The 23,408-nt window shown below is 40.8% G+C and overlaps 1 protein-coding gene across 4 annotated transcripts in view, besides 1 other annotated feature; it reads left to right on the top strand.

Annotated features, from left to right (window-relative positions):
* Nucleotides 1-23,408, top strand: part of KCNH1 (potassium voltage-gated channel subfamily H member 1) — a 455,835-nt gene that overhangs the window by 167,811 nt on the left and 264,616 nt on the right. The gene's annotated exons all lie outside the window — the stretch shown is intronic.
* Nucleotides 16,077-16,371: a silencer, noted in NCBI's record as "tiled region #3630; HepG2 Repressive DNase matched - State 12:CtcfO, and K562 Repressive DNase unmatched - State 12:CtcfO". NCBI's record gives its function as "represses a minimal TATA promoter and a strong SV40 promoter by Sharpr-MPRA in HepG2 and K562 cells {active_cell/tissue: HepG2 | K562}" and the evidence as "EXISTENCE:reporter gene assay evidence [ECO:0000049][PMID:27701403]".

The raw sequence follows: 23,408 nt of genomic DNA, 5'->3' as shown, positions 1-23,408 counted from the left end.
CATGAAGTCTTTGCCCATGCCTATGTCCTGAATGGTATTGCCTATGTTTTCTTCTAGGGTTTTTGTGGTTTTAGGTCTTATGTTTAAGTCTTTAATCCATCTCGAGTTAATTTTTGTATAAGGTGTAAGGAAGGGGTTCAGTTTCAGTTTTCTGCATATGGCTAGCCAGTTTTCCCAATACCATTTGTTAAATAGGGAACCTTTTCCCCATTTCTTGTTTTTGTCAGGTTTGTCAAAGATCAGATGGTTGTAGATGTGTGGTGTTATTTCTGAGGCCTCTATTCTGTTCCATTGGTCTGTATATCTGTTTTGGTACCAGTACCATGCTGTTTTGGTTACTGTAGCCTTGTAATATAGTTTGAAGTCAGGTAGCGTGATACCTCCAGCTTTGTTCTTTTGGCTTAGGATTATCTTGGTTATGTGGACTCTTTTTTGGTTCCATATGAAATTTAAAGTAGTTTTTTTCTAATTCTGTGAAGAAAGTCAATGGTAGCTTGATGGGGATAGCATTGAATCTATCAATTACTTTGGGCAGTATGGTCATTATCATGATACTGATTCTTCCTATCCATGAGCATGGAATGTTTTTCAATTTGTTTATGTCCTCTCTTATTTCCTTGAGCAGTGGTTTGTAGTTCTCCTTGAAGAGGTCCTTCACATCCCTTGTAAGTTGTATTGCTAGGTATTTCACTCTCTTTGTAGCAATTGTGAATGGGAGTTCTCTCAAGATTTGACTCTGTGTAATTATTGGTGTATAGTTGGTAGTATAGTTTGAAGTCAGGTAGTATGATGCCTCCAGCTTTGTTCTTTTTGCTGAGGATCATCTTGGCTATGTGGGCTCTTTTTTGGTGCCATATGAAACTTAGAGTAGTTTTTTCTAATTCTGTGAAGAAAGAATGCTTGTGATTTTTGCACACTGATTTTTTTTACCATGAGACTGCTGAAGTTGCTTATCAGCTTAAGGAGATTTTGGGCTGAGATGATGGGGTTTTTTAAATATACAATCATGTCATCTGCAAACAGGGACAATTTGACTTCCTCTTTTCCTAATTAAATACCCTTTATTTCTTTCTCTTGCCTGATTGCTCTGGCTGGAACTTCCAACACTATGTTGAATAGGAGTGGTGGAGAGAGGGCATCCTTGTCTCGTGCTGGTTTTCAAAGGGAATGCTTCCAGTTTTTGCCCATTCAGTATGATATTAAATGTGGGTTTGTCATAAATAGTTCTTGTTATTTTGAGATATGTTCCATCAATACCTAGTTGACTGACAGTTTTTTAGCATGAAGTAGTGTTGAATTTTATCGAAAGCCTTTTCTGCATCTATTGAGATAATCATGTGGTTTTTGTCATTGGTTCTGTTTGTGATGGATTATGTTTATTGATTGTGTATATTGAACCAGCCTTGCATCTCAGGGATGAAGCTGACTTGATCATGGTGGAGAAGCTTTTTGATGTGCTGCTGGATTCGGTTTGCCAGTATTTTATTGAGGATTTTTGCATTGATGTTCGTCAGGGATATTGGCCTGAAATTTTCTTTTTTTGTTGTGTCTCTGCCAGGTTTTGATATCAGGATGATGCTGGCCTCATAAAATGAGTTAGGGATGAGTCCCTGTTTTTCTATTAATTGGAATAGTTTCAGAAGGAATGGTACCAGCTCCTCTTGTATCTCTGGTAGAATTTGGCTGTGAATCTGTCAGATCCTGGACTTTTTTTGATTTGTAGGCTATTAATTACTGTCCCAATTTCAGATCTGGTTATTGGTCTATTCAGGCATTCGACTTCTTCCTGGTTTAGATTTGGGAGAGGGTATATGTCCAGGAATTTATCAATTTCTTCTAGATTTTCTAGTTTATTTGCATAGAGGTGTTTATAGTATTCTCTGATGGTAGTTTTTTAATATTGTTATGTGTGGATTTGATCCTGTCATTATGTTGTTAGCTAGTTTTTCTGCCTGTTAATTGATGCAGTTTCTTCATAGTGTCAATGGTCTTTACAATTTGGCATGATTTTGCAGTGGCTGATACTAGTTGTTCCTTTCCATGTTTAGTGCTTCCTTCAGGAGCTCTTGTAAGGCAGGCCTGGTGGTGACAAAATCTCTCAGCATTTGCTCGTCTGTAAAGGATTTTATTCCTCCTTCCTTATGAAGATTAGTTTGTCTGGATATAAAATTCTGGGTTGAAAATTATTTTCTTTTTAAGTGTTGATTATTGGTCCCCACTTCTGGCTTGTGGGGTTTCTGCCGAGAGATCTGCTGTTAGTCTGATGGGCTTCCCTTTGTGGGTAACCCAACCTTTCTCTCTGGATGCTCTTAACATTTTTTCCTTCATTTCAACGTTGGTGAATCTGACAATTATGTGTCTTGGAGTTGCTCTTCTCAAGGATTATCTTTGTGGTGTTCTCTACATTTCCTGAATTTGAATGTTGGCCTGTCTTGCTCTATTGGGGGAGTTCTCCTGGATAATATCCTGAAGAGTGTTTTCCAACTTGGTTTCATTCTCCCAGTCACTTTCTGGTACACCAATCAAATGTAGGTTTGGTCTTTTCACATATTCCCATACTTCTTTTAGCATTTGTTCATTCCTTTTCATTCTTTTTTCTCTAATCTTGTCTTCATGCTTTATTTCATTAAGTTGATCTTCAATCTCTGATGTCCTTTCTTCCGCTTGATCAATTCGGCTATTGATACTTGTGTATGCTTCATGAAGTTCTTGCGCTGTGTTTTTCAGTTCCATCAGGTCATTTATGTTCTTCTATAAACTGGTTGTTCTAGTTAGCAATTCCTCTACTAACCATTTTTGAAGGTTCTTAGCTTCCTTGCATTTGGTTAGAATATGCTCCTTTAGCTCAGAGGAGTTTGTTATTACCGACCTTCTGAAGCCTATTTCTGTCAATTTGTCAAACTCATTCTCCATCCAGTTTTGTTCCCTCGCTGGTGAGGAGTTGTGATCCTTTGGAGGAGAAGAGGCATTCTGCTTTTTGGAATTTTCAGTGTTTTTGCACTGATTTCTCCCCATCTTCGTGGATTTATCTACCTTTGGACTTTAATGTTGGTGACCTTCGGACAGGGTTTCTGCGTGGACGTCCCTTTTGTTGATGTTGATGCTCTTCTTTTCTGTTTTTTTTAGTTTTCCTTCTAAGAGTCAGGCCCCAGTAGAGGGTTTCTTAAGGCAGTTACCAAAAAAAGCTAATGTAAATTTGATGCATTTGACCACATTACAATTAAGAATTTCTATTCAGCAGAGACAGCATGAAGAAAATGAAAAGATAAGTTACGATTTGGGAATACTTTTTTAAAGAAAAGTTCCACAAAGCAATAAGAAAATGGCAAAGAACCCAGTAAATTAATAGGCAAAACACGTGAGCAGCCATCACACTGAAGAGGAAGCACAAATGACTACCAACATACGAAACGATACTTTACCTCATATGTAACCAGAGAAACACAAATAAGACTGCAACTAGATACTGTTAGATGCTCAATAGATCACAAAATGTAAAAAGTCTGAGAACCTGAAATAACAAGCATGTGACAAGACAGTATAAAATCTAGCAATCTTATTCCTAGGTATGAGACTCATGCCTAGAGTCTCATGCAAAGTTGCATCAGGGGCATGTTCAAGGATGCTCATAGCAGCATTGTTTTTATGATTAAAAACCTGGAAACAACCCAGATCTCCATCAATATGAAATAAAATTCCATTGGGTGGTATATTCACCCAATGGAATGTTATCCAGTGCTAAAAATGAATAAACTATAGTTATCTGCAGCAGCATGATTGATGGTTAACAACATGACATTGAATAAAATTAAATAAAACCCAGGGGATTGCATAACATATAGTGTGTTTATAAAGCTTAAGAACAATAAAAACTAAATAACATTATTTAAGGATCTGTACATTTGTTAAAAATGGAGAGATAGCAGGGGACAGGAGGAGAACACACTCCATTTCTGCCAAGATGAAGTAATAGGGACCCATCCTCCTGAAGCAATGAAAAAAATGGAAAAGATATATGAAATGACAGTTTTCAAACCATCAGGTATCAGACAATCAAGGAGAATGATCTTGAGGGCTGAAAAACAATCTGAGCCTTATAATTCCCTGGCTTACTGCCTGAAGAGGCCATGCCATAGGGAGGGGGAGTCCAGGCAGAGCTCAGCAGTCTTCCTGAGTAAGGAGATGGAACTAGGAGTATAGGTAGGCCAAAGTGTAGCACCAGAGAGAAGAAAATTGCACAGAGAGAAAGTTGCAGAGAGCTGCAAAGGGTCCCCCTTTAGTCTTCAGCTGAGTAGTGATCATAGCAGGCCTGTGTAAAAACTACTTGAAGTCAAGGAAAGGGCCACCCAAAAGGATTAGAGAGAGCAATACTTGGAGTACACACAGAGCTGTAAATAGTTCCCATCAACTAGCATGGAAAAACTACAGATGATAAAATTATCAGACAAGGCATTAAAACAATTATTATAACTGTATTCTTTTTTTTTTTCTTTTTTTTTGAGACAGTTTTGCTCTTGTTTCCCAGGTTGGAGTGCAATGGTGCAATCTCAGCTCCCTGTAACCTCTGCCTCCCAGGTTCAAGCGATTCACCTGCCTAAGCCTCCCAAGTAGCTGGGATTATAGGCATGCACCACCATGCCTGGCTAATTTTTTATTTTTAGTAGAGAAGGGGTTTCTCCATGTTGGTCAGGCTGGTCTTGAACTCCCGACCTCAGGTGATCCACCCGCCTTGGCCTCCCAAAGTGCTGGGATTACAGGCTCGAGCCACTGTGCCCGGGCTCTATAACTGTATTCTGTATATTCAGGAAACAAGAGAAAAGACTGAGCATAATAAGTGGAATCATGAAAGATATAAAAAGGACTCATCAGACTTCTAGAGATGAAACTATTACAAAGGAAAAAACATGTCGAATGGGTTTTATACTGGATTAGAAAATAGAGAAGAAAAAATTAGTAATCTTGAGGGCATTTAAGCATAAACTGTCCCAATGAAATAAAGGAAAAAAATGCCTGAAAAAAAATCTGCTCTTTGAAGGATGCTGTTACAAGAATAAAAAGACAAGCCTCATGCTGGGAAAAAAAAAAATTTGCAAGTCGTGTATCTAATGAAAACTTTTAGCCAAAATATGGAAAGAACTCTTAAAACTCAATAAGACAAACACCCAATAAAAAATAGACAAAAGATTTTAACAGACATTTCATCAAAGCAGATATGAAGATGGCAAATAAGCACATGAAAACTGACCCAGACATGATACAGATGATAAAATTAGCAAACAAGGCATTAAAACAACTATTATAACTGCATTGTATATGTTCAAGAGATAAGAAAAAAGCTCAGCATCAATTAGTTATCAAGAAATGACACTAAAACTACAAGAAACCACTATGTACCTATTAGAATGGTTAAAATTAAAAACTGACCATACCAAGTGTTGATATGGAGGAACCAGAACTCTCCTACATTTCTGGTAGGAACATAAAATAGAATAATCATTTTAGAAAACAGTTTGGATGTTTCTTTAAAAATCAAATATATACCTATTATGTGACCCTGCTACTTGACTTTTATTTACTGAAGAGAAATATAGCATGTGACTATATAAAGACTTGTACACAGATCTTCATAGCAGCTTTATATATTTTTTAAGGGAAAAATCCAAACATCCTCAATAGGTAATGGGTAAGTATATTGTGATGCATTTATACAATAGGCTACTACTCAGCAATACAAAGGAATGAACTGTTGACATATGCAACAATGTAGATGAATTCTAAAATACTTTTTCTGAGTTAAAGAAGTCAGAGTGTACACTGTATGATTCAATTTAAATAAAAATTCTAGAAAATGCAAACTGATCTATAGTGGCAGAAAGCACATTGTGGTTGCCTGGGGAAAGAGGTGGAGAGAGCATGCTGAAGGATGGGAGATTACAAAGTGGTGAGGGGAACATTTTGTGGTCATGAAATGCCATTATCTTGATTGTGGTGATGGTTTGATGGATGTGCAAAAATTACTGTACCTCAGTAAATTTTTATGTAAAGCAAGAGAAATGGAAACCTAAAATTTATGATATAGGTAATAGTTACTTCTTGGAGGAGGCTGGGAAAGAGCACATGGGTAGATGCAATTAAAATTGGTGATGTTCTAGTCCTCAGGCTGCATAGTGGATTCATTGTTTTTATGTGACATATACATTTCATAATTATTTTATGCATGTGAACATTAAGTAATAAATTTAATAAAATGTTGCTGGTGATAAAGAACATTTCTGGCAAAGAGAGCCTCTTGTCCATTCCAAGATGGCCAAATAGGAACAGCTCCAGTCTGCAGTTCCCAGCATGATTGATGTAGAAGACGGGTGATTTCTGCATTTCCAACTGAGGTACCTGGTTCATCTCATTGGGACTGGTTGGACAGTGGGTATAGCCCATGGAGGGCGAGCTGAAGCAGGGCGGGGCATTGCCTCACCTGGGAAGTGCAAAGGGTCGGGGGATTTCCCTTTCCTAGCCAAGGGAAGCCATGACAGACTGTCCCTGGAAGATTGGTACATTCCCGCCTAAATACTGTGCTTTTCTCATGGTCTTAGCAACTGGCAGACCAGGAGATTCTCTCCTATGCCTGGATCAGTGGGTCCCATGCCCATGGAGCCTTGCTCACTGCTAGTGCAGCAGTCTGAGATTGACCTGTGAGGCTGCAGCCTGTGGGGGCATGTAGGGGCGTCTGCCATTGCTAAGGCTTGAGTAGGTAAATAAAGTGGCTGGGAAGCTCGAACTGCAGCTCAACAAGGCCTACTGCCTCTAGACTCCACCTCTGTGGACAGGGCATAGCTGAACAAAAGGCAGTAGACAACTTCTGCAGACTTAAACATCTATGTCTGTCAGCTCTGAAGAGAGCAGTGGTTCTCCCAGCATGGCGTTTGAGCTCTGAGAACGGACGGCCTGCCTCCTCAAGTGGGTCCCTGGCCCCCATGTGGCCTAACTGGGACACACCTCCCAGTAGGGACTGACAGACACCTCATATAGGCGGGTGCCCCTCTGGGACAAAGCTTCCAGAGGAGGGATCAGGCAGCAATATTTGCTGTTCTGCAGCCTCTGCTGGTGATACTCAGGCATACAGGGTCTGGAGTGGACCTCCAGCAAGCTCCAACAGACCTGCAGCTGAGAGACCTGACTGTTAGAAGGAAAACTAACAAACAGAAAGGAATAACATCAATATCAACAAAAAGGACATCCACACCAAAACCTCATTTATTGGTCACCAACATCAGAGACCAAAGGTAGATAAAAACTACAAAGATGGGGAGAAACCAGAGCAGAAAAGCTGAAAATTCTAAAAACCAGAGCACATTTTCTCCTCCAAAGGATCGCAGCTCCTCGCCAGAAATGGAACAAAGCTGGATGGAGAATAACTTTGACAAGTTGACAGAAGTAGGCTTCAGAAGGCCGGTAATAACAAAGTTATCTGAGCTAAAGGAGCATGTTCTAACCCATCGCAAGGAAGCTAAAAACCTTGAAAAAAGGTTAGACGAATGGCTACCTAGAATAAACAGTGTAGAGAAGACCCTAAATGACCTGATGGAGTTGAAAACCGTGGTAGGAGAACTTTGTGATGCATGCGCAAGCTTCAGTAGCCAATTTGATCAAGTGGAAGAAAGGATATCAGTGATTGAAGATCAAATTAATGAAGTAAAGCAAGAAGACAAGATTAGAGAAAAAAGAGTAAAAAGAAATGAACAAAGCCTCCAAGAAATTTGGGACTATGTGAAAAGACCAAATCTACGTTTGATTGGTGTACCTGAAAGTGATGGGGAGAATGGAACCAGGTTGGAAAACACTCTGCAGGATATTATCCAGAAGAACTTCCCCAACCAGGCAAGGCAGGCCAACATTCAAATTCAGGAAATACAGAGAACCCCACAAAGATACTTTTTGAGAAGAGCAACCCCAAGTCACATAATTGTCAGATTCACCAACGTTGAAATGAAGGAAAAAATGTTAAGGGCAATCAGAGTGAAAGGTCAAGTTACCCACAAAGGGACGCCTGTCAGACTAACAGCAGATCTCTCAGCAGAAACCCTACAAGCCAGAAGAGAGTGGGGCCCAATATTCAACATTCTTAAAAGAATTTTCAACCCAGAATTTCATATCCAGCCAAACTAAGTTTCATAAGTGAAGGAGAAATAAAATCCTTTACAGACAAGCAAATGCTGAGAGATTTTGTCACCACCAGGCCTGCCTTACAAGAGCTCCTGAAGGAAGCACTAAACATGGAAAGGAACAACAGTACCAGCCACTACAAAAACATGCCAAATTGTAAAGATCATTGATGCTATGAAGAAACTGCATCAATTAATGAGCAAGATAACCAGCTACCATCATAATGACAGGATCAAATTCACACATAACCATATTAACCTTAAATGTAAATGGGCTAAATGCCCCAATTAAAAGACACAGACTGGCAAATTGGATAAAGAGGCAAGACCCATCAGTGTGCTGTATTCAGGAGACCCATCTCATGTGCAGAGACACACATAGGCCCAAAATAAACGGATGGAGGAAGATCTACCAAGCAAATGGAAAGCAAAAAAAGCATGGGTTGCAATCCTAGTCTCTGATAAAACAGACTTTAAACCAAAAAAGATCAAAAGAGATAAAGAAGGCCATTTCATAATGGTAAAGAGAATAATTCAACAAGAAGCGCTAACTAACCTAAATATATATGCATTGAATACAGGAGCACCCAGATTCATAAAGGAAGTCCTTAGAGACCTACAAAGAGACTTAGGCTCCCACACAATAATAATGGGAGATTTTAACACCCCATTGTCAATATTAGACAAATCAAGGAGATAGAAGGTTAAGAAGGATATCCAGGACTTGAACTCAGCTCTGTACCAAGTGGACCTAATAGACATCTACAGAACTCTCCACCCCAAATCAACAGAATATACATTCTTCTCAGAACCACATCGCACTTTTTCTACAATTGACAACATAATTGGACATAAAGGACTCCTCAGCAAATGTAGAAGAACAGAAATCACAACAAACTGTGTCTCAGACCACAGTGCAATCAAATTAGAACTTAGGATTAAGAAACTCACTCAAGACTTCACAACTACATGGAAACTGAACAGTCTGCTCCTGAATGACTACTAGGTAAATAACGAAATTAAGGCAGAAAGAAACAAGTTCTTTGAAACCAATGAGAACAAAGACACAATGTACCAGATTCTCCGGGACACAGCTAAAGCAGTGTGTAGAGGGAAATTTATAGCACTAAGTGCCCACAAGAGCAAGCAGAAAATATCTAAAATCGACACCCTAACATCACAATTAAAAGAACTACAGAAGCAAGACCAAACAAATTCAAAAGTTAGCAGAAGGCAAGAAATAACTAAGATCTGAGTGGAATTGAAGGAGATAGAGAAACGAAAAATCCTTCAAAAAAATCAATGAATCCAGGAGCTGATTTTTTGAAAAGATCAACAAAATTGATAGACAGCTGGCAAGACTAATAAAGAAGAAAAGAGAGAAGAATCAAATAGACACAATAAAAAATGAAAAGGGGATATCACCACCAATCCCACAGAAATACAAACTACCATCAGAGAATACTATAAACACCTCTATGCAAATAAACTAAAAAATCTAGAGTAAATGGATAAATTCCTGGACACATATACCCTCCCAAGACTAAACCAGGAAGAAGTGGAATCTCTGAATAGACGAATAACAGGTTCTGAAGTTGAGGCAGTAATTAATAGCCTACCCTCCAAAAAAAAAAAAAAAAAACTCCAGGACCAGACAGATTCACAGCTGAATTCTACCAGAGGTACAAAGAGGAGCTTGTACCATTCCTTCTGAAACTATTCCAATCAATAGAAAAAGAGGGAATCTTCACTAACTCATTTTATGAAGCCAGCATCATCCTGATACCAAAGCCTGGCAGAGACACAACAAAAAAAGAGAATTTTAGACCAATATCCCTGATGAACATCGATGTGAAAATCCTCAATAAAATACTGGCAAACCGAATCCAACAGCACATCAAAATCTTTTCCACCATGATCAAGTTGGCTTCATCCCTGGGATGCAAGTCTTATTCAACATACTCAAATCAGTAAACGTAATCCATCACATAAACAGAACCAACGACATAAACCACACGATTATCTCCATAGATGCTGTAAAGGCCTTTGACAATATTCAACAGCCCTTCATGCCAAAAACTCTCAATAAACTAGGTACTGATGGGACGTATCTCAAAATAATAAGAGCTATCTATGACAAACCCACAGCCAATATCATACTGAATGGGCAAAAACTGGAAACATTCCCTTTGAAAACTGGCACAAGACAGGGATGCCCTCTCTCACCACTCCTATTCAACATAGTATTGGAAGTTCTGGCCAGAGCAATCAGGCAGGAGAAGGAAATAAAGGGTATTCAATTAGGAAAAGAGGAAGTCAAATTGTCCCTGTTTACAGATGACATGATCATATATTTAGAAAACCCCATCATCTCAGCCCAAAATCTCCTTAAGCCGATAAGCAACTTCAGTGAAGTCTCATGGTACAAAATCAATGTGCAAAAATCACAAGGATTCCTATACACCAACAACAGACAAACAGAGAGCCAAATCATGAGTGAACTCCAATTCACAATTGCTACAAAGAGAATAAAATACCTAGGAATCCATCTTACAAGGGATGTGAATGACCCCTTCAAGGAGAACTACAAACCACTGCTTACTGAAATAAAAGAGGACACAAACAAATGGAAGAACATTCCATGCTCATGGACAGGAAGAATCAATATCGTGAAAATGGCCATACTGCCCAAGATAATTTACAGATTCAATGCCATCCCCATCAAGCTACCAATGACTTTCTTCACAGAATTGGAAAAAACTACTTTAAAGTTCATATGGAACCAAAAAAGAGTCCACATAGCCAAGACAATCCTAAGCCAAAAGAACAAAGCTGGAGGCATCACGCTACCTGACTTCAAACTACACTACAAGGCTACAGTAGTGAAAACAGCATGCTTCTGGTACCAAAGCAGATATACAGACTAATAGAACAGAACAGAGGCCTCAGAAATAACACCACACATCTATAACCATCTGATCTTTGACATACCTGACAAAAACAAGAAATGGGGAAAGGATTCCCTGTTTAATAAATGGTGCTGGGAAAACTGGCTAGCCATATGTAGAAAGCTGAAACTGGATCCCTTCCTTACACCTTATACAAAAATTAAGTCAAGATGGATTAAAGTCTTAAATGTGAGACCTAAAACCGTAAAAACCCTAGAAGAAAACCTAGGCAATACCATTCAGGACATAGGCATGGGCAAAGACTTCATGAGTAAAACACCAAAAGCAATGGCAACAAAAGCCAAAATTCACAAATGGGATCTAATTAAGCTAAAGAGCTTCTGCACAGCAAAAGAAACTACCATCAGAGTGGACAGGCAACCTACAGAATGGGAGAAAATTTTTGCAATCTACTCATCTGACAAAGGGCTAATATCCAGAATCTACAAAGAACTTAAACAAAGTTACAAGAAAAAAACAACCCCATCAAAAAGTGGGCAAAGGATATGAACAGACACTTCTGAAAAGAAGACATTTGTGCAGCCAACGGACACATGAAAAAATGGTCATCATCACTGGTCATCAGAGAAATGCAAATCAAAGCCACAATGAGATATCATCTCATGCCAGTTAGAATGGCGATCATTAAAAAGTCAGGAAACAACAGATGCTGGAGAGGATGTGGAGAAATAGGAATGCTTTTACACTGTTGGTGGGAGTGTAAATTAGTTCAACCATTGTGGAAGACAGTGTGGCAATTCCTCATGGATCTGGAACTAGAAATACCATTTGACCCAGCAATCCCATTACTGGGTATATACCCAAAGCATTATAAATCATTCTACTATAAAGACACATGCACATATATGTTTATTGCAGCACTATTCACAATAGCAAAGACTTGGAACCAACCCAAATGTCCATCAATGATAGACTGGATTAAGAAAATGTGGCACATATACACCATGGAATACAATGCAGCCATAAAAATGATGAGTTCATGCCCTTTTCTGGGACATGGACGATGCTGGAAACCATCATTCTGAGCAAACTGTCACAAGGACAGAAAACCAAACACCGCATGTTCTCACCCATAGGTGGGAACTGAACAATGAGAACACTTGGACACAAGGCGGGGAACATCACACACTGGGGCCTGTCTTGGGATGGGGGGCTGGGAGGCTGGGGGAGAGATAGCATTTGGAGAAATACCTAATGTAAATGACGAGTTGATGGGTGCAGAAAACCAACATGGCACATGTATACCTATATAACAAACCTGCACATTGTACACATGTACCCTAGAACCGAAAGTATAATTAAAAAGAGAACCTCTTATGCTAAGTTATGAAGGCAAAGGAAAGAATAAGGAGAACTGCAAGTAGTTCAATGTATCTGGAGCTGGCAGTGAAAGAGGTCAGTAGGGAGAGAGGCAGAGTAGAAGTAAGAGATCGAAGGTTCTGGATAAGAGAGGGTTTTGAATGCCATCCCAGGGGGTGTGAATTTTACTCGTAGGCACTGGAAAGCCACTGGAGGATTTCCTGCCAGGAAACGACGGGATTCGATTAAAATTTTAGAAAGAATCCTGAATTTCTATTTATGGAGACAGATTGGAGGAGGTTACACCTGAGCCAGGGAGACCAACTGAAATGCTTTGGAGTATTCCGTGCAAGAGAAGACGAGGGCTATGGAAATGCAGCGAAAGGGAGAGATCCAGATTGCCAGAAAAGTTGGAGCAAAACCAAGAGAGAGTTTTCACAGAAGCCAGGGTAAGACAAAATTTTGAGAAAGATAATTGTCAGCAAATACACAAGGATTGAAAAGCTTCTTTTGGTATATCTAATAGAAATCTTATGGTGAGAACAGCCCACGTGGGTGCTGAGGGTGGATGCCAGCTTGCCCTGGGTTCAACCTGAGTGGTGAGGAGGTTGAGGCCAAGTGTGAATTTGTATTTCCAGAAAATGGTCTGTGCCTGGAGGGAGCAAAATACTTTATATTCACGTGATAGAGTTCCTTAAGATAGGGAATCCAGAGCAGAGCTGGAGGGCTTAGCCTTAAAATGGAAAAGTCTCACCCTTTGCTCTAAGAAAATAGAAAGGTAGCTATAGGTATAGGAATAATAATAGGTGTGGGAGAAAGATTGTGAGGGAGTTGATATTTGATAGCTTTGATTATCTGGGTCAAATAAAAGCTGGGGTACCTTTTGAAATTGAGTATGAAAAGTTGGAACAGCTATAATAGCACATTATAAAAGGAGCTAATCAAAAACCAACCAGTCAACCAATTAACCAACCAAATAAAAACCTCCATAAAAATATTACTGTGGTTGAAGCTACTGCATATGGTTGCCTAGCTTATGTAATGCACAAGAGTAGAGACACCAATAATATTCTCATGATAGTTTACCTGAATGATATTCCAAGGGTTGTGAAGTTTACAACCTCAACTGTACATGGAAGCCTTAGCTACAGGCTAGCCTGAAATTAGAAACCATTAATTTGCAGTAAGAACACTTGGCAGGTTTATGTGATTTTTTTTTTTTTCTCTAAGAGTGAGTCTTTGGGTTGATCCACAATATCCAAAGTTAGAGTGGACTTTTGGGAGCCATGGAGTAGTAAGACAAGAGGGCTGAATGTTGAAAATGATTGTTAGAGGGCAACAGAAATGACACACTTTAATCTTTATTCTAGCTCAGAGCTCTGTATGTTCTCCTGTTGCTGTACTGCAAGTATTATTGGTTTGTCTGATGCTTCCACAAGGTGTAAGCTCCATAAAGTGACCAGGCTTGATGTTTGTGCTTAGATCAGCACCTGCACATAGTAAGGACTCCATAAATCTCTGCTGGATAGACTGATAGAAAGATGAGGCTTTATGGGGAAGGAAGTTACATCATCAAGGAGTTATGCACCAGGGAGAAAGGAAAGATATGGTGTATATTTGAGTTTCAAGGGCTGGTGAAGTAGGAATAAGGGTGTGAATGAGCTGGAGGGAAGGGGTTTATGGCCAGAGATGAGTATATCAGTGTTTGATATTTTAGAATTAGTACAACCCTGTGAAGTGACAATTCCTTAGATATTGCCTGGGCAGTAGGTGCTGAGGGAGAGAGGAGGTAAAGAGACAGAGAGGAAGACCAAGTGCTCAGGTGCTAGGCAGCTTGTCTGGGTGACTGAAGAAATGTCACACAGGAAGATGTGGGCACTTGGAGGACTGTGTACCCCGCGCAAGTGTCCTCAGGGAGTGACAAAGAGTGGCTACAAGGTAGAGAGATAACAAGGAGGGCCAGAGGGGGCTGAAACGCATGGCTTAAAGCTCAAAGAAGAAAGGCTTTTGCATGAGGGAGTAAGGAGAACGTTCTAGAAAAGACAACAGTGTGCATCATATAGCTGTTTTCATTTAACAGGATGAAGGAGAGATGGCCTGAGTTCAGTCAGGGGGTTATTCTATTTGTACTGATATGGTTGTGTTGCTTTAGTCCTTACCCTGAACACCATATCTCTTTTTATATATAATAAATAATAATCGTAATAAGGGTTTGATATTTTAATAAAATTACACCATTACAGAAAAAGCATAATCTACTGGATTTTATCCTATTACCAATACGTTTTTCTATGCCTGAGGAAAGCTGATCCCGTTAACCCCTGGAACCATGACAAGAAGAGTATCTAGAAAGAAATGCTTCTGCTAGGCAGCGTTGTAAACTCAAACCGACAAACTGCCAGCAGATTGCATAGCTTCCAATAGCTAAACGCCAGAGGAGTGCGATCACAGCAGCTCTGGCTTGTTACATAAATTACATGCACAGCAGGTTCAAATGCTCCTAAAGCATCAAGAACGTTCTCCTTGACATATATTAGCATAAGTATTTCCATCTCATTTTCCCTCTGGATCTTATGCTTTACAAACCCTATCTGTAGTTTCCTCTTTATGTTTTCTCAGTTTTCCTGGATGCACGCAGGCTATGCCCCCTCACCCCCAAGCTACTCTTCGCACAGCACACCTGTATAGAGGGGGTCTGCCCCTAGTGGAGTTTCTGTCGTAGCCCTGTGGACAGAGCATGTCCACCCTGGTTCTTGGATGTCCTGAGTTGTGCTGTTTGAGTCTGCAGAGATTCTCACTGCACATTTAGGCTGAGTCTGTGTGGAAATACTCCCCTTCTCTCCGACTTTTAATTAAGAATGACTCTTTACCCATTTAACCTTTTAATGTCCTTTATAGCACTTTACACATTCAGATATAATCTTGTTAAACTTTTATTTTCTTTTGCTTATTTTTGTTTCTCCCACTAGAAGGTAAGTTCCATGAAGGCAGAGATCCTGTGCTTTGCTTAGTGTTGAATCTCCAGGGCTGGGCCTGGCACTTGAGGCCACTCAATAAGTAGCACTTTTTAGCCAGTATTTGTCAGTTGTTTCTATATTAAATCGAAGATTAAAGTACATACTTCATAGAGTTCTTGTGATGATAAAATGAGATGATATATCTGTCACATGAGTTAATAGTCCCAATAAGTGGCCGGTGGTAATTGGACACATTCTGGAGCCCTTGTTGAGGGCCTGTCTTTAAGAAATCTAAACTGATAGCAAAGACTTGGAACCAACCCAAAAGTCCAACAATGATAGACTGGATTAAGAAAATGTGGCACATATACACCATGGAATACTATGCAGCCATAAAAAATGATGAGTTCATGTCCTTTGTAGGGACATGGATGAAATTGGAAAACATCATTCTCAGTAAACTATCGCAAGAACAAAAAACCAAACACTGCATATTCTCACTCATAGGTGGGAATTGAACAATGAGATCACTTGGACACAGGAAGGGGAATATCACACTCTGGGGACTGTTGTGGGGTGGGGGAGGGGGGAGGGATAGCATTGGGAGATATACCTAATGCTAGATGACGAGTTAGTGGGTGCAGTGCACCAGCATGGCACATGTATACATATGTAACTAACCTGCACAATGTGCACATGTACCCTAAAACTTAAAGTATAATTAAAAAAAAAAAAAAGAAATCTAAACTGAGAAGTGAAGTGACAGCAGCTGTCAGCTTCCCACTTGCCCTCCCCTGCCTGGGCACTAGGTGGCACTCTGGAGGGAGACCAAGAAGAGGCTGTTACCTGGTGTTCAGAGAAGAATGAAGGTGGGAGAGAAACTGACTTATTTATACATCTGTTTTTGTTCTTGTTCTCTTTGTGTCTGTGTGGCTTGGCAATCTTTTCCTCACTGGCTTCTAGTTTTAGAAGTATACTCTGTTTGATTAAAGCAGGTTTCACATGGTTGATTTGCCGTTTTTCCATTCTTTCTTTTAAATATCCTCCTTATACCTAGCTGATTGATTCATAGCATCTTCGTATAATGTTATCTCATAATGTTGTTGCCAAGGCCTGGAATTGGAGTGAGCGGCTCCGTGTTTAGAATATAATTACTTTGCACCAGCTTGGAATGTGCCAAAATAATGACCAGATGAACAATTATAATGGGCGATATAGCTAATTGTGGCAGATCAGCAGAGAACACTGATCATATCACTAAAATCAACAGCAGAAACCTGGGCATTGGCTGGTGCAACCGATTCATTGCATTTATGAAGTGCTGTTTTGCGTGTTCCCCTCTAAGAGGAGCCAGGACCTGTGGGAGGTGGAAAAGTAGCAGAGGTCATGGGTGCTGCCCTTGATGTTACTGTCATGTTGGGAGAGAAAACAGACTGGGACGTAACAATTGAGGACTGTGTTAAAACAACAACAACTATGTTCACTTTGCTTAATAAAGCAAAGGGGTAATCTCTTTGGATGCAGGAAGACTTCTTGGAGTAGGTGAGCTTAGGGTTTGTTCTTGAGGCAAGTGGTAAGATTTGGGCTGACAGGGTTAAAGACATCGGAAAGGAACTTGAAATGCCAAAGCTGAGGAATAAGCAAGATGTGTACTGGGCTCCTCAAGGAGAGAAGGGTTGTGACACCTTGGTATATGGGACATGTGTTTGCAGAGGACAGAAGGGCTAGCTGACTCATGTTTGAATCTGAGGTTGGTCGGTTTTGAATTACTCTGGCAGTCCTTGGGGAGTTCATGGTATCTTTTTTCCCTTTAAGTATAAAAGGCTATAACAGCATTAAAGAAAATTATAATAAAAAAATTGTTCATTACATATCACTCTATCCCAGGAGTCAGCAAACTACAGGGCAAATCTAACCCACCATTTGTTTTTGGACACCCCATGAGCTAAGAATGGTTTTTACTTTTTTGAATAGTTGATGAAAGTCAAAAGAGAGGGATAATATTTTGTGACATGAGAAAATGATATGAAATTCAAATTTTAGCATCCATAAATAAAGTTTTGTTATAACCCGGGCATGTTTCTTCATCTGGATATTTTTTTCTTTTTTTTTTTTTCCTTTTTTTTGAGATGGAGTCTTGCTCTGTGGCCCAGGCTGGAGGGCAGTGGCGTGATCTCGGCTCACTGCATGCCTCCTGGGTTCACGCCATTCTCCTGCCTTAGCCTCCCGAGTAGCTGGGACTACAGGTGCCCACCACCATGCCTGGCTAAATTTTTTTTTGTATTTTTAGTAGAGACAGGGTTTCAGTGTGTTAGCCAGGATGGTCTCGATCTCCTGACCTTGTGATCCGCCCGCCTCAGCCTCCCAAAGTGCTGGGATTACAGGTGTGAGCCACTGTGCCCCACCTCCATCTAGATATTTTCTATGGCTGCTTTTGGACTATAATGGCAGCATTGAGTAGTTGTGACAGAGACTGTATGGCCAGCAAAGCCTGATGTCTGGCCCTCTACAGAAAATGTTTGTTGACCCCTGCCTTAACTCAATGATTTTTCATTTCTGCTTATTTCCTTCCTGTCTTTATCTAAAATGTGCACATAATTTACATAGCCATATTCATTTTTGTCTACAGCTTTTCTTTGTCAAACATTCTTCTATAGTAGTCATCATAACTAATTTTAATGAGCATGTATTTCTGTACTGCTTTATAATGTAAAAAATGCTTTGTATCCATTATCTTTTTTTTTTTTTTTAAAGAGACAGGGTCTTACTCTGTTGCTAGAGTATCACAGCTCACTGCAGCCTTGAACTCCTGGGCTTCAGTGATCCTCCCGTCTCAGCCTCCTGAGTAGCTGGGACCACAGGCATGTACCACCACACTCGGGCTAATTTTTTCCTTTTTTTTTTTTTTAATAGGGATGGGGTCTCACTATGTGGCCCAGGCTGGTCTCAAACTCCTGAGCTCAAGCAATCTGCCCCCAACCCCTACCCCAAAGTGCTGGGGTTACAGGCATCAGCCACCATGGAGGGCAATTATCTCGATTTATTATGACAAAAACTCATGTGATAAGATGGAGTGTTCTCATTCCATGGAACTTTCATAGTGATTAAGTGATATGCTCAAGATCACACAGATAACAAACAAGTAAAGCCAGGATTTCTGATCCCAAATCTCTTATTCATTTTACTTTTCTGATAACTTATAATTTTTGCCCAAGCTAATTTATTTTTAATTAACAATTCTTCTATTGTTGGTTATGTAGGCTGTTCCCAGTTCTTCTTGCTTACCAGTGGTGTATCTCAGTGAACATCATATATATGACTGATTGATGTAAGTTATTTATTTATTTTAGGGTGAAGAATTGAGCTTTTTTTTTTTTTTGAGACAGAGTCTTGCTGTGTTGCCCAGGTTGGAGTGCAGTGGCGTGATCTCTGCTCACTGCAAGCTCCGCCCCCCAGGTTCATGCCATTCTCCTGCCTCAGCCTCCCGAGTAGCTGGGACTACAGGTGCCCGCCACCATGCCTGGCTAATTTTTTTTTTTCGTATTTTTAGTAGAGAAAGGGTTTCACCGTGTTCACCAGGATGGTCTCGATCTCCTGACCTCGTGATCCGCCCGCCTCGGCCTCCCAAAGTGCTGGGATTACAGGCATGAGCCACCGCGCCTGGCCAAGAATTGAGCTTTAACATTTGCTTTTCAGCCGAGAGACCCAGTGGTATGAATGGGGTAGGGATTGATCTGTAAGGAAGAAGATAACTCTAGGGCAGGTGGTCTCACCCTTGTTCAAAAGCTGTCTCTTTAGAGGTCGATCTAATTTCCAAAGTCATTCAGCAATTATTTGTATGGTGCCTGTTAGCACCAGGCACAAGAACAGTAGGTTCTAGGGCTTTGGTCTTGAAATTAACAGGGTGCCTGCCCTCAGCAGTCTAATAGTTACATATAAGATGGTGAGGGGACAGGTAAGTTGGCGGTGATATTGCACTGTGGGGAGTTTACAACAGGAATGTGTGCTGGATGCTTGGGAGTGGGGCCGCTCTGGCTGAGATGTCAAGGAAGAGTTCTAAAATGAAGGATAAGTAGGGACTTGGCTAGGTGAAAAGCAGAAAGGGGAAGACAGTGAGAAGAGACATCATTTGGGCATGGAAACCCGCCTACGTGAAGGACAGGTGGTAAGACAGACCACAGCAGATCTGAGGAATTCAAGTTGTTCAGCGTGACTGGAGTGCGGGTGTGTGAGAACACGGCGGGAGAGAAGGCAGGAGGAGCAGGCAGGGGCCAGGCCACAAGGGCCTTATGGGTGGCAGTGAGGTGCTGAGAATAGTGCAGGTGTAGAATAAAACACAAATTTGGGCCATGTTTTTCCCTTGTTTATTGTGAGATGTGTCTCTAGGGCTGTTGTTGATGCCTCAGAGAAGGCTGTGCAGTACATTTCTGCATCAAAAGTGGGATGGGTAATACAGGAGTTTCTAGAACGAGGAGTATCTCAGTGACTGCCTTACAAATAAGCGCCCTAGTTTTTGTTGCAGAGTAAAGCAAATGGGAAAGGATTTCTGATTCTGAAATGTGGTTTTTGCCTCCAGGCTTTCACCAAGGAGGGGCAGGGCATCTTGCCTCCCTAAGGCAGCATGGATACACATGCTCCCAGGCTTCCAGGACATTGACTGGGTATCCTGGGGCTGTTTTCTGGCCCAGTGCTCCCTAAGTTCCCACAGAAAGTACAAGCCATGCCTCAGACCCCTAGGAATATTCTCCAGATGAGCAGGAGCTATAAAGTCTCACCTTCATGATGCGATTCCTCTGAGATGTTTGCAGTTATTTTATGAAGACCAAGTGGGATAATATTCATGTAAAAGTTTTGTAAGCTGTGAAGTGCTACATGGATGCTATGTATTAATTCATCCAGCTAATTTTTATTGACAGCCTGCTATACTGGCAGTGTTCTGGGTGCTGAGGACACAGTAGTTCCTGCCAAGACAGTGTGTACATTCTAGTGTGTGAGGCATCAACAATAAATGTAAAGCCTCTAGTATACTAAATGGTGATAGATGCTCTGGAGAAAAATGAAACAGGGAAGGGGGTCTGGGAGTTGCGATTTTAAGCGTGTGAGGGAAGTCCTTTTTGGAGAAGTTAACATTTGAGCAACAACTCCAATGAGATGAGTGAGGACAATTGGGTGCCAATGTTCTGGCAGAGGATAAACAAGCGCAAAGGCCCTGCGGTGGAAGGGTACCCAATGTGTCTGAGGAACAACAGAAGTTCTCTGTGACTACGTGGGAGTGACTGAGTTGAGGGGACAGTGGTAAGAAACAAAGTTGGAGACATCCTGAATCAGGAGAGAGAGCATTACAGAATTTATGGACCTTGGGGACCACTGTGAAGACTTTGGCCTTCATCCTGAGGGGAAGCCCTTGGAAGGCCCATTTATTGTAACTGTTCCTCCTCTGCTCTGGCCTCCTACACATCCTGAACCAGGTGGCTTGGGTTTGAATTTGGCTTTGCCACTTAGTCACTTTATAATCTTGGGAAAGTTACTTAATCTTTCAGTGCCTCAGTTTCCTTCTTTGTAAAATGGAGATACGTGTAGTTCCTAACTTACAGGAATCATGAGAATTAAATGAGGTCATGTTTATAACATACAGTGCCTGGCACATAGTATACATTGTGTAAGAGTTAGTTTAAAACAGCAAAAAAAAGTTAAGTACTGCATCCTGAGACCTCAAATAGATATTTGTGCACCAATGCTTATAGCAGCATTATTCATCGTAGCCAAAAGGTAGACACAACCCAAGTGCCCATTAATAGATGAACGGGCAAGCAAAATGTGTTAAACACACAATAGGATATTATTTATTCATAAAAAGTAATGAAATTCTGACACATGCTATAACCTGGATGAGCCTGAAAACACTGTGCTAAATGAAAGAAGCCAGACACAAAAGGACAAACATTGCATGATTCCACTTATATAGGTTTCTAGAATAGGTAAAATCATAGAGACAGAAAGTAGATTGGAGGTTATCAGGAGCTGGCAAAAGGGAGGATGTGAAATTAGTGTTTAATGGGTGCAGAGTTTCAGTTTGGAAACGTGAAAAATTTCTGGAGATGAATAGTGGTGATGGTTGTACAACCTTGTGAATGTACTTAATGCCACTGAACTGTACACTTAACGAGGGTTGAAATGATACATTTTATATTATATATTTTTTACTGCAATAAAAAAATACAGTAGCCTGTTTCTTTTCTAGATTTGGCCACAAGGAATAATGTATATTATGTGAGGAGTCAGGAAACCAGGGTTTGTGTCTCAGCTTTGTCATTTGCTGCTCTGTGCCTGAAATGAGGCACCCTTCCCTGCACTTCTGGTTCCTTATCTGTAAGAGAAGGGGTGTGGCTCAGTGACCCCTGGGGTCCCCTCCTGATCCAAAGTTCTGTGGTCCCAGAACCCCTGAGGCGAGGCTTATGTCTTGAGCTCTCCATTTAGATATGGCAGTTAAGTGGTCCCACCCCTTGGCAGCTTCCTTTGGCCGTCTGCTTTCTGGCCTGGGGAGCTGTGGCTCTGTTTGCTTGCCTGGAGGGCCTTTGCAGTGGAGGGCTGTGTTGTGTACAAACATGGGATTGTGTCCTAGTATCACCAGGAAAGGGATTTAAATTACTGTTCATAAATGCATTATGACTTTAAAAGCCATTTCTAACTAATGCCACTACTGCCACCAGTACTCATTTTTAGATGGTTTGATTTTAAGTTTCTAAAAAACACCCTTATGAATTGATATGCTGTAGACTCATAATAGTTCTATGATCCAGGTAAGAGTTGGGGGAACTGCAGAGTGACCCGAGCTAGGCCAGTGACTTTGGAGTTAGTTTCTTTACCTCTTTGGGCATTAGTGGCCTCCTCTGGGGCTGGACTTAGAGTCTTGGGAGTCTTTTAGTGCCTACTTTGTTTTATTTCTGAGCCAAAGTGATTTGGATAATACACAGTACTTAAAGAACTGAAGCCAAGCCAGCTTCCAGTCCCTGGGCCCAGTATATGTGGGAAACCGGTATCTACTGAGTCCCCATGGAATGTACACAGGTACTGCCCTGGGTAGTCCCAGGACACCATTCTGCCTGTCTTCAGGTTACCTTGTAAGAGCCCAGAGTCCTCAGTCTTTGTGAATATAGCAGGGACTAAATCTAATCTATTCTGACACTAGTCTTTTGGGGATGCAAGGAGCATCTTTTTATTCTACCACTGCTTTTGTTTATTTTTCATTCTGCCACTTGGTGCTTATATGCAACCTGCTCACTGCTTAAAAAGAAGGAGAGAGGCCAGGCATGGTGGCTCACACCTGTAATCCCAGCACTTTGGGAGGCCGAGGTGGTCAGATCAGAAGGTCAGGAGATCCAGACCATCCTGGCTAACATGGTGAAACTCCGTCTCTGCTAAAAAAAAAATACAAAAATTAGCCGGGCGTGGCGGTGTGCGCCGGTATTCCCAGCTGCTTGGGAGACTGAGGCAGGAGATTGGCCTGAACCCGGGAGGCAGAGCTTGCAGTGAGCCAAGATCGTGCCACTGCACTCCAGCCTGGGCAACAGAGAGAGACTCCATCTCAAAAAAATAAATAAATAAAAAATAAAAAATAAAAAATAAAAAAAAGAAGGGGAGACTCATCAGTTCCATTATAGTTGGGTTGAGTTTGGGGGAGAATTTTTTGAGTGAGTGGGGGAAAATAGTAGGCTGGTTTGGCTGGTGTCTTTGGAATAGCCATGGAGACTTTGATTTCATTGTTTGTTTTCAAAAGTCTGATTGTAATCAACAGAACTCATCCTCATGGCGGCTTGTCCAACAGTTCATTACTACATTCACATAAAATGGGGAAAATTGCAGCATTTTTTTCCATAGGATAGTTGTGAGAATTGAATGAATGACTGTAAGACTAAGAGTTAGGACTGCTTGGCACATTGCAAGTTCTTTAAAATTATTTTTATTTGCTATTACTTAGCAGGATTGGGATGACAGGTCAAAGTCTATATACAACTTTTCCACAA

Source organism: Homo sapiens, chromosome 1 (genome assembly GCF_000001405.40).
Source record: "Homo sapiens chromosome 1, GRCh38.p14 Primary Assembly".
Lineage (NCBI taxonomy): Eukaryota > Metazoa > Chordata > Mammalia > Primates > Hominidae > Homo > Homo sapiens.
The sequence above is the reverse complement of the archived record's forward strand: the minus strand, read 5'-3'. Positions and strand labels throughout refer to the sequence as shown.